This window comes from Homo sapiens, chromosome 12, assembly GCF_000001405.40.
Source record: "Homo sapiens chromosome 12, GRCh38.p14 Primary Assembly".
Classification (NCBI taxonomy): domain Eukaryota; kingdom Metazoa; phylum Chordata; class Mammalia; order Primates; family Hominidae; genus Homo; species Homo sapiens.
The window spans coordinates 46646812-46659243 of NC_000012.12; the positions used below are offsets into that span (position 1 = coordinate 46646812).

The 12432-nt window shown below is 41.7% G+C and overlaps 1 long non-coding RNA gene across 5 annotated transcripts in view; it reads left to right on the forward strand.

Moving 5' to 3' along the window:
• SLC38A4-AS1 (SLC38A4 antisense RNA 1) overlaps nucleotides 1–5768 on the forward strand; it is a 268904-nt gene extending 263136 nt beyond the window's left edge. For all 5 annotated transcript variants that reach the window (NR_125378.1, NR_125379.1, NR_125377.1 and 2 more), the window contains one exon: nucleotides 5579–5768. This is a non-coding gene — a long non-coding RNA (SLC38A4 antisense RNA 1). The remainder of the gene's footprint in view (nucleotides 1–5578) is intronic.
• Nucleotides 5769–12432: the final 6664 nt, after the last annotated feature.

Consider the following 12432-nt stretch of genomic DNA (forward strand, 5'->3'; position numbering starts at 1 on the left):
AAACTCCGTGTGTGTGTGTGTGTATGTTTTTTGTTTTTTTGTTTGTTTTTGCTTTGCTTTTTGGTATGCCTTGTAATTTTTTCTTGATAACCAGACATGATTTACTGGGTAAAAGGAACAGCTGTAAATAGGCCTTTAGTAGTGTGGTGGTCTGATGTTGAGGGGAGGAAGCATTTTATAATTCTATGATTAGGTCTCAGTCCTTAGTAAGCTTGTTCCTCTGGACTGTGAACTTCACAAATGCTTCTTAGTCTCCCCTCCCCACACTTAGGTTGATGTATTAGTCTGTTCTCATACTGCTATGGAGAAATACCTGAGACTGGGTAATTTATAAAAAAAAGAGGTTTAATTGACTCACAGTTCCGCATAGCTGGGGAGGCCTCAGGAAACTCATAATTATTGAGGAAAGTACCTCTTCACAGGGCGGCAGGAAAGAGAATGAGTGCAAGCTGGGGAAATGCCAGACATTTATAAAAACAATCAGATCTTGTGATACTCACCCATTATCATGAGAACAGCATGGGGGAAACCAGTCCCATGATTCAATTACCTTCACCTGATCCCACCCTTGACATATGGAGATTATGGGGATTGCAATTCAAGGTGAGATTTGAGTGGGGACACAGAGCCAAACCATATCATTCTTCCTCTGGCCCCTCTCAAATCTGGTGTCCTCACATTTCAAAACACAATCATGCCCTTCCAACAGTCCCCCAAAGCCTTAACCCATTCCATCACTAATCCAAAAGTCCAAGTCCAAAGTCTCATCTAAGACAAGGCAAATCCCTTCTATCTATGAGGCTGTAAAATCAAAAGCAAGTTAGTTACTTCCTAGATACAATGGGGGTACAGGCATTGGGTAAATACATGTATTCCAAATGGGAGAAATTGGCCAAAATAAAGGGGTTACAGGCCCCATGCAAGTCTGAAATCTAATAGGGCAGTCATTAAACCTTAAAGTTCCAAAATGATCTCCTTTGACTCCATGTCTTACATCTAGATCATGCTGATGCAAGCGGTGGGCTCCCATGGCCTTGGGAAGCTCTGCCCCTGTGGCTTTGCAGGGTACATCCCCACCCCTGGCTGCTTTCACAGGCTGGTGTTGAATATCGGCAGCTTTTCTAGGCATACAGTGCAAGCTGTCAGTGGATCTACCATTCTGGGGTCGGGTAGATGGTGGCCCTCTTCTCACAGCTCTACTAGGCAGTGTCCCATCTGGGATTCTATGTGGAGGCTCCAACCCCACATTTCCCTTCCACAGTGCCCTAGCAAAGATTCTCCATGAAGGCTCTACCCCTGGAGCAAACTTCTGCCTGGACATCCAGACATTTCCATACATCCTCTGAAATTTAGATGGAGGTTTCCCAACCTCAATTCTTGACTTCTGTGTACCTGTAGGCCCAACACCACATGTAAGCCACCAAGGCCTTGGGGTTTGCACCCTCTGAAGCAATGGCCTGAGCTATACCTTGGCCCCTTATAGCCATGGCTGGAGTTGAAGCAGCTGGGACACAGGAGACCATGTCCCAAGGCTGCACAGAGCAGGGGGGCCCTGGGCCCAGCCCACAAAACCATTTTTCCCTCCTAGGCCCTAGGACCTATGATGGGAGGGGTTGCTATGAAGGTCTCTGACATGCCCTGGAGACGTTTTTCCCATTGTCATGGTGATTAACATTTGACTCCTCGTTACCTATGTACATTGCTGCAGCAGGATTGAATTTCTCCCCAGAAAATGAGTTTTTATTTTCAATCACATTGTCAGGCTGCAAATTTTCCAAACTTTAAGGCTCTGCTTTCTCTTGAACACTTTGCTGTTTAGAAATTTCTTCCACCAGATACTCTAAATCATCCCTTTCAGGTTTAAAGTTCCATAGATCTCTAGGGCAGGGGCAAAATGCCATCAGTCTCTTTGTTAAAACATAGCAAGAGTGACCTTTATTCAAGTTCCCAACAAGTTACTCATTTCCATCTGAGACCACCTCTGCCTGGACTTCATTGTCTATATCACTGTCAACATTTTGGTAAAAGCCATTCAACAAGTCCCTAGGAAGTTCCAAACTTTCCCACATCTTCCTGTCTTCTGAGCCCTCCAAGTCTCTAGGAAGTTCCTAACTTTGCCACATTTTTCTGTCTTCTTCTGAGCCCTCCAAACTATTCCAGCCTCTGCCTGTTACCCAGTTCCAAAGCTGCTTCCACATTTTGGGTGTCTTTATAGCTGTGCCCTACTACCTCGGTACCAATTTACTGTATTAGTTTGTTCTCATGCTGCTATGAAGAAATAACTGAGACTGGTAATTTATAAAGAAGAGAGGTTTAATTGACTCACAGTTCCACATGGCTGGGAAGGCCTCAGGAAACTTACAATCATGGTGGAATCATCTCTTCACAAGGTGGCAGTGAAGGCAACTCTTCACTGACGGCAGGGCATGGTGGCTCACGCCTGTAATCCCAGCACTTTGGGAAGCCGAGGTGGGTGGATCACAAGCTCAGGAGATTGAGACCATCCTGGCTAACATGGTGAAACCCCGTCTCTAATAAAAATACAAAAAATTAGCTGGGCGTGGTGGTGGGTGCCTGTAGTCCCAGCTACTAGGGAGGCTGAGACAGGACAATGGCGTGAACCTGGGAGGCGGAGCTTGCAGTAAGCCGAGATTGCCCCACTGCACTCCAGCCTGGGTGAAAGAGCGAGACTCTGTCTCAAAAGAAAAGAAAAAAAATCACCCACTGACTGGGTCCTCCTGGTGTCCTCATCCTCATGGTGATGAGTGAGTTCTCACTCTATTAGTTCCCGCAAAAGCCAGTTGTTAAAAAGAGCCTGGCACCTCCCTTTTCACTCTTGCTTCCTCTCTCACCATTTGAGCTCTTCACACACAGGCTCCCTTTCACCTTCCACCATGAGTGTGAGCAGCCTGAAGCTCTTGCCTGTTGTAGGTGCCCAATCTTAAACTTTCTAGTCATCAGGATTATGAGCTGAATAAACCTTTTTTCTTTGTAAATTACCTACCCAGCCTCAGATATTTCTTTTTTTTAAAATTTTATTATTATTATACTTTAAATTTTAGGGTACATGTGCACAATGCACATAGCAACACTAGACAGACTAAGAGATCTAAGAACTGTTGATGTTTCAGTTGGTTCAGCTTTTCACTTTTTGTTAGGTCAAAGTGGTAACTTTCAAGCTTCATATGTGCTGGAAGATGCTGCTATGTTTTTAAAATAAAATTTTTTTCAAAACATAGTTAATTTTATGGTAACATTCTTGAAAATAGGTAACTCTCTCTGATAGTTTTCAGTTGTAATTTTTCACACCTCATAGTTAACTAGTTTAAAGGATTACAAAAAATATTTAACAATATCATTAGTTAATCTGAATAATGGATGCAAAAGTAACTATTTTGACAACTGATGATTTTGATAACTATGTACCTCTGAAAAGCACTTTGGTCAGTGATCATAAGAAAGATAGTATGGAGAGTTTGGTGAAGTGGAAATGTTAAACTATTTTCTAGCAGTAGAGTTGTTGCTTTTTCATTAACTAGCACTTGTTCTTACATCAATTCTTTTTTATATCCTCAAAATCATAATACCTGAGTTCGGCAGTTTGTTCCAGGGAAAATAATTTAATCTGTTTTAGCCAAATAGAATGCCGTCAGTTACCCTTATTTCTCTGAATTTAACAGGCATGTGAAATTGAATCCCATGAGCTACACACACTACTTTCTGATATTTATTATCTTGCTGAAGGTGAGCAGAACAACAGCTTTGCTCTTGTCCTATGATTTTAGAGATAATATCTGGTTGGCAACTGGCTTGGGCACTAGTGCTTTTGGAGGTGGTGTGTTCATCTAGTTGGAACCAGGGGCAGAGATAGCATCATTCCCACTGCGCCTGATTTAACTTGGCTTTGGATGATATCACAATTGGGGTTGGAACTTTCCACAGTAGATTATACAAATTTAACCATTATTTCAAGATTTTATCTTTTTGTTTGAACAACTCAGCTCCGGAGATAACATTTTATAGACTTATGCTCCTTCTAAACTAATGTTACTGTCGTTTGTATCTATTCTGATGTCTTTCCCATAGACAATGGATTTTTCTGAGTCATCCTTGGTCTATTTTTTTCCTGATCCTCACTGGGTTATTTGTGAGAGAGCTGGGGCCACTAGTAAAATCTCTGATTCTTGGTTACTGATTTTATCTGTGCAAAGCAAACCAGAACAGATGGATGAAGCCATTGACAGAACCTCTTACTACTATGCTGCGAAGCAGAGGCTCAGACTGTATTAGAATGATTAATGTACAGGTGGGGGTTTTTGTTTTGATCCTGATTACATCTTCAGCATTTTTGGATAGGATAAAATCTGTAAAGTAATGTTTATGGAAGTAAATAGCTGATTGATAAGACAGTCTTGGTTAGCCCTTTCAATCAGATGTCTGTACATCAAGTAATAGAGCTAGGCTAGGCTATCACCCTTGAGTTCCAGATGAAAGGAAGCCATTTTTTATTCCTGAGATTGTGTTCATTCCATACTTCTTATTTGACAACAGAATATAACACCCCTGGATCAGTAGAGCCAGAGCAATTTGGAAGGTCAACATTCAACATACTTAGAGCTAGAAGGGCCAATTTAGACAATTTAAGCAAAAAGATTATTTTCTTTGAGTATAGACTGTCTGTCCAAGAAGACTCAAATTCTGTTCATGGCTATGCTCTAGTGTTTTGGCTGGCGGGTTTAGAGGTTCTGGTGTTTTCCCACCTCTCCAAAGTAAAATATTGACACAAATGAATTCAATGAGTTGATGAGGGAAGAAGAATTAGTTGGATGAGATTGAGCAGATTCTGAGATTTTGTAAACATCTTGGTGCTTTGGGAGGACTTGGGCATGATTTGATGTCTTCTGATGGGAAGGTGAAGCATTCTGGGCAGCTGGTGGAACTCTACACTTCAGATTTGCTCTCTTGTTTTCTCCTCTAGAGCTGAGGGCTGTGCCCTGCCACCGGGCCACAAAGTGTCACAGGTATGCCCAATGCCCAGCCAGCACTACATTCTGGTTCTCACAAGGGATCCTCTTCTCAGTGATGTCCTTCAAAGCTAGCTGGGGCTTAGGTGTGCACCCCTTCCCCCAGGACCCAGAAAACATGTCAGGTTGTCCTGGCTCCCCAACCAGCCCAATCCAACCCTAAATAAAAACCTGAGCTTAAAAGAGGGGCAGATTTCTGTATACCAGTGGATTATGCAGTTGAGAAGGAAATTAAGAAACCTGAGTTCTCTCCCCAAATATGCTCTGGATTTGGGCTCTCAGCTTTCAGAGTGCTGATTTATTGTGTTACATTGCACAGCTTATTATAAAGCTAACTCTTATTCTTACTATAACCCTCCTGCTTAATTAATTCAAGAACATTTAGTTCCAGGTACTAAGATTAGGGAAGGCGGTCTGAACCTCCTTGGCCTGAGCTTCCTATTTCCACGTGAAAAGACCTCCACTAGTTTCACCCTCCAGGCACTCCCACCTAATAATACTGAGATAAGAGGCTGGTCAGCCAGGTGTGTCTCAGCCCCTTCCTCTTTCCACAGATTATTGCCTGCTCCTCCAAGCCCTTCACTGTAGAATGGAAGCCTGTGATTTTCCTGGCATCATGCATGACTGAGAAGGTCAGTGTGGCTAATTCTGAGCTTCAACATCAGGAAACCCGTAGTTCTTCACACTGAGCCGCCTCCTGCAGCACAGTCATCCTTGGTAATAAAGCTGATATTTTAATCAATATCTGTCTTACTCTTTCATCTTGTCCCTCATTTGGTTTAGAATTCAGGTGGGGAAAACAATTGTTTACTTTATCGGACTCCTAACCATGTGCTTGGCAGACACAGGTGAATAAATACAGTCTCTATTCTCAGGAAATTCATAGAGCAATGGTGGGAGGTGGGTAGATGGAAATGGAAGCAAAAAAAACAATGTGAATTACTGTAACTAGGGAAGTGGTGTAGTGGAGTTCAAGAGCTTCAGTTCTGGTCTCATTCAATCTTAGATGCATTCCCAAATGTGCCATTTAATAGATGAGTGACCCTGGGGAAGTAATTTTACCTCAGTGCCTCAGTTTTCTCATCTATAAAATGGGAATTATAATACCCACCTCACAGATTGTAAAGATTCAATGAGATAATACATCTAAATTGTTCAGCACAGTGCCAAGCATGAAGAAAAATCACCCTTTTGACCATTGTTATTATTAGAAGTGTGACATATATGCTGTGTAATCTACAGGAGGGCACCTGTCTCTTCACGTGAGTGCTATTATCCAAAGAGAGGTAGAAAAGAATTCTGTCTATATCATAGAGCAATGATAAGCAAAGCAACCCCAGACTGTAGCTAATATATATTTTGGGGCATCACTCTGTAGGTTCTAGTTTGCTTTTCAGTCTGTCAGTTGGGTGGTAGCTACTCTCCAGCCTGGCATCAGGCACCCAGCAGAGAGGGACCGGCAATCACCAGGCTAGTGCAGCACGAATGTATATTGGTTTATGAAAGCAGCTACCTCCCACATGCAAGAGAAGAGTAAAAGAGAAGAATAGAAGAGGAAAGAGAAGAAAAAAAGGAGGAGGCGAGGAAAAGGAGGAAAGGGGAGGGGAGGGGAGGAAAGGGAAGAAAAATGTATAATTCAGTTCCTTCCAATAAATATGGCTGTGCAATAGTTTACATTAATATTACCAAAGTGACCAAATTAATGTATGAACTCACAGAATAATAATTCAAAATTGATACAAGGAAGTCACATGTAAATTAGGATGGACAGAAGACACATGGAAAGAGGGATGTGCATAAAAGATGCAGGGGAAAGCCTTCATGAAAAAATATGGAAAGGAAATAGAGAACTGTACTACTATCCTCCTCTATCTGTCAATTTCTACTAAGAAGTTTTATACCCTTAAAAAATCATAAAGTTCACATATACACTTTCTCATCTACACTGTCTCTACAAGATACTCAGTCTTTATGAGATGACTTTTTTCATATCCAGTTCTTGCTCTTGTTTTAATGTTCTGGTACTTCAATCACTTTGCAGCAGGAAGAAGGAGACCCTTTTTTTTCCTTTTTTTTTTTCCTTTTGAGACAGAGTCTCGCTCTGTCACCCAGGCTGGAGTGTAATGGCGCAATCTCGGGTCATTGCAACCTCTGCCTCCCAGATTCAAATGATTCTCCTGCCTCAGCCTCCTGAGTAGCTGGGATTACAGGCGCGCACCACCACGCCCTACTAATTTTTTTTTTTTTTTTTTTTTTTGTATTTTTAGTACAGACAGAGTTTCACCATGTTGGTCAGGCTGGTCTGGAACTCCTGGCCTTGTGATCTGCCCACCTTGGCCTCCCAAAGTGCTGGGATTACAGGTGTGAGTCACTGCGCCCGGCCAAGACCCTCCTTTTCAATACCATCATCCAACCGTCTACTTATGACCACACCCCGCCCACCTCCATCCACCTGGCTACTTATTCCAGCTGCAGCAGCCTCCCTCTCGCTCTTTAGCATTTGAGGTTCCTCTGGCTGGGATGTCCATCCCCCTGACTTCCACACTGCTTGCACCTTCACTTTCCTTAGATCCTACTGATACTACCTTATTGGGAAAACTTTCTCTGGCCACTTTTTTTCAATGAGAACTCTATCTCCCCAAAATACTCCTTCCCTTTTCTCCTGCTTTATTATTCTCCAAAGCCATAATCTCCATCTAACATGGTATATACCTTTACACGTTTGCTGGCTTATTGTTGTCTTTCCTTCTGTCTTAGGTTGGATTTCCTAGAAACAGAACCTGAGAGAAGAATTCAGGTGCATATTGAGGGAATGCTCTTCAGGAAAACCTGTAAAGGGAGGGAATGATGCAGGATAGTGTGAGTGAAGCAGCCGGGCAAGGGTGTGCTTCCAGGGAGGTCTAGCCATGAGAAAGAATTTTTCCGGTGCACTAATTGCATCTGGAAGCAAGAGGCCCACTCTTTGTACCCTCCTTTCAGTCGTTGGCTGTGTGCTGAGTTCGGGGCATTGCGACTTCCTGGCTGAGGCAATGCCCTTGCACTGAGGTCAATTCTCTTTCGAATGGGACAGATGGGAGCCAACATGCATAGAAACTGGGAGCAGAAGTGTTGGCCATGTAAAAGGGACCCAAGACAGGCAACTAAATGACATCTAACACTTCCATTACAGTATAATCTCCATGGTATTTCAGACTCTCTGGTTTGCTTTGTGCTGTATTTCTAGCACACAGAACACAGCCTGGCACATAGTAAGTCTTCAATAAATATTTATTGAATGACTTAATAATCTTAGTGAACTAGTGTAATGTGTATGCCAGGGGACAAAATGGTGAATGAGACAGACATGGTCCCTGCCCTCGTGGAGGTATGGTTTAATGGGAATGCAGACATTGGCAATTTAAACACAGTTTGAACAGTTCTATCATGAGAAAAGCAGGGTGGGCTAAGAACACACAGTAGGGACACTTAAACCCCAGAATTTGGAAAGGGAAAGTACTACAAACTTTGTGGTATGGTGAAGGTCTGTGTTTTTCATTGTAATTATTCACAGAAAGCAGAGGGCACATTGATAAAGTTGGGAAAATATTTGCAAGACTGCAGAATTACTATGAAGATTCTAATTCAGTTTTGTTTCAGCCATGATTTCTGTCACAGATAGAAAGATCAAAGGTTGAACAACCTGAACCAGGACTTCTTACATTTGCCCCGTGGTCTGTCTGTTGTCCCATCTTCACAATGAGAGGGTTGAACTTGAATTTCCTTCCTCGGGTCTCTGGAGGGGTCTGGGTATTGGGCTCTGCCCATTCTGTGGTAGGAAATGAGGGAGTGCCAGCCAGTCAACTATTAGTGCCAGCCAGTCAGTATTTCCTGGGATTGAGAGATTCCCTTGGACATTTGAGAATTGGCATAGTTTTCCTTTAAAAGTATCAGTGTGGTATTTATTAGGTGGCTTAGTAATTAGGTCCATTTAAAAAAAGAGAACTCAGTTCCCCTGAGGATTTGATGATGCCTTGGCCTCAGTTGGTGCTTGGTAACCCCGGTAATCAATCAATTTACTTGTATAGTCTGGTCTGTCTAGGGGATTCTATACTGCACGGATGCAAACTGCCTTCCCCAATTTTTCCCAATTTGGTTTATACAGCTATGTGTAGCATCCCACATATTTGGGGGAATGTGTGTGTGTCTGTGTGTGTGTGTGCATGCATGCACGCAAGAGCTTGTGAATAGTTGGGGAAAGGCCATACGAGTTGAACTGGGGCAGTGTCTTCAACTACAGCATGACTGTTTTGGAGAGAGGATCTTGCTCTGCTGCCCAGGCTGGAGTACAGTGGCACAATCACAGCTCACTGCAGCCTCAACCTCCTGGGCTCCAGTGATCCTCCTGCCTCAGCCTCCCAAGTAGCTGAGACCACAGATGTGAGCCACCAAACCCAGTTAATTTGTTTTGTACTTTTTGTAGAGACAGGGTCTCACTATGTTGCCCAGGCTGGTCTCAAACTCCTGGACTCAAATGATCCTCCTGCCTTGGCCTCCCAAAATGCTCGATTATAGGTGTGAACCCCTGCGTGCAGCCTACAGCATGACTTTTAATGTTTGATAGTCATGTGCCTTTAGACATTTTCATAATTCATCCTGGAGAATGGTAAAAAATAAGTTTTGTTGAAATATAAAAAGGCCATTGAAATGTCACAGAGTGGTTTACCTAACAGTAAATTATATAAGGCCTGAAGGTAGGGGTGGGAGAGGGGATATTAGTCAGGAATTTCTAGTAATTTGAAGCCATGCAAAAACAACAATGTTCTCAGGCATTATTGTGTTTGTTGCTAACTTTTGGCCGAGCGATTTTGAGAGTTTTTAGCTCTTCCCAGTCTGGGCAGTCACATTGGGCTTGTCACTTCTGCCTCTCACTTGTGCTGTGTTCATGCCCTGGATGGGTGCTCTTGATTGGCTGCTGCCTTACCCACCCCTTGGCACAGCTGCCTTGAGGTCTGCCATGTTCATTGGGGCCCACTCTGCTAATTTATTTTGCCAGCTTTGTGCTTAAATTTCTTCTAGATTCAGAGCTTTGATTGAAGGAATATAATATGTCACAAAAATAGCTGGTTTCATTTACCAAATACTAATTTTTTGCAAGATGATAGTTCTTTAGAAGGAGATATTTCCTGAATGCTAGTTAGTTATAAAATTTGTTTTACATAAGTTTGTTGAATGTTGTAATATTTGTGAAAATAGAGGTGGGTGCATAATGTCATGGTTTGTTAATTGAATGCTGACCTAAATAACGATACGATGGTGTAATGGGAGGAGTCCTGGACTAGCAGGCAGGAAAGGTTAGCTCTTGGTACTGCTTGGTTGTGACCTTTGGCAATTCCCTTGACCTCTCTTGGCCTCAGTTTCTCTACAGAACTAGATAATGCATAAGGCTCCTTCTAACTCTATAAGCAAAGTTCTAAGTCTATGTAGCTGGAAAGCTTGCAAAATCAGCAAGGGTGTGTGTTTTTATTCACATATCTTAAACTCATCTCCTAGAACTTTGGGTCAAAATTGACCTTGTGAAAAATAAAACCAAACAGTTGAAGGCTCTAGCTTATCTGACACCCTAACTTAATTTTGATCAAATGTTGTTTTTATATGAAATAGATTACTAAGATAATAATATGCTTGGGTAAAAGGTATTGGCTCTAGACAAAGGAATTGTTTTTTTTAGCTCTGCCAGTTCTTATAAGGGAAAGCTGATATTTTCATCAGGAATGGGGTACAGTCTCCCTTGGGAGAGCTCAATGCCATGTAAGCCAACACATATATTGCCCCAGGACTTAAACAATTCTATGCTGGAGATAATCAGAAATATGCACATATTTCTTTTTTCTTAAGCAATACCCAACAAATTCAGAAAGTTGTCATATTTGAATTGTTTTCCTTTTCAGAGGAGGGATGTGCAATACTGAATAAGGAGAGAAATACTTTTCTAGGAAGTATTTTTCGTTTTTTGTTTTTTTTTTTTTCAGAAAAAAACCACTTTTGAGGCACAATTGTCATAAAATGTCACTTGTAGCATGAAGCAAATATAGAAACTCTGTCCCTTTGCAGATAGGACTGCCTGTTAAGTGATGGCCGGTCAGACTTACTTGATGACTCAGTACAGTGAGAGACAAGCATTAGAGCTGTTAGTTGTTACTAACACTAAGCAGAATAACAGAAAACAGGCAAAATAGGGTCAAGTAGAATTGTCAATTTTTGCCTTTCAGAGTCATTAAAGGGAAGAACTGGGGCTGAGTCGTTAGAATAGGTTAGTTGTTTGAGTTATTCCATCAATCCGAAATTAGAATTACCTTCATACCTTCCTTGCCTTTCCAAACTTCTGGGCCATGTCACTGAGAGTGGCCAGGACTCAGCTGATCTGCAGCAGGGAAACCACCCCCAATCTGTGGCTACTCCTATACTTAGGCTTAAACTGGACATAAGGCCATTTCATACAATTTCAGATGTTTGTGTTTTGTCTTTGCAACATGATATATATGGTTAAAATAATATAATTAATTTTTAATATTGTAGCTTATTGAAAGATAAAAAGTGAGCCTTGCTGCTTTTTTAGCTATTCTTTTGGACACAGCTACTACAAGAAGAGAAAATATTGGCAAGCCAGGGGTTAAGGTACTACAAGGAGGGAGCAATTTTCTCTCACCTCACGAGGAGGAAAAGACCCAATAATGGATTTTACTTCCCTCCTCGATGTATTAGATTTTACGGGAAATTTAACATGGTATGTCTTTTGTATCAAATCACAGAGTGAGGGCTTTTCACTTTGAGGAAATCCTATACACTAAAAAAGGAATTTAGCAGTTAGTAGGGTAAAATTCACACAAGCAAAAGTTTTATTACTTTACAAAAGGCTCTTTTAGTGAGCCAATCCCAGTGCTTTAAAAAGAACATGTTAAGTGAGGAGCATAAGCCTGTTTCCTGAGTAATGACTTCAGTTAAATTGACACACACATAGCCAAATGTTCTTTGTGCCTGGCAGGACCCAGGAGAAATCACCTAATTTATAACTATAATGCCCATATACACTGGCATCAAAATTTCCACCCCACTTGGATGCAAAATTGTACTTTAGTGCTCAAAAAAAATTTTTTTTCTTAACTGCCTCTATGCCTTTGTATAAGAGACTCTTGTAGCTAACACCTTTTTATTTATGAGAAAAACATTTGCAAGTCTTTTATTTTTTGTTTAATTTAGTTTTTACCAGAAAATAAGGGGCCGTGTACAGCATATTCATGGAGACTAAATTAACTAATAGGGTTTAACTGTCGGTTGAGTGTTCTGAGAAAATGTCTGGGAAATGAACTTATAAACAGAAGGCCAGTGTTCAGGGTCCCTAGAGAAATAATGATGGGTCCTGCTCACTGAA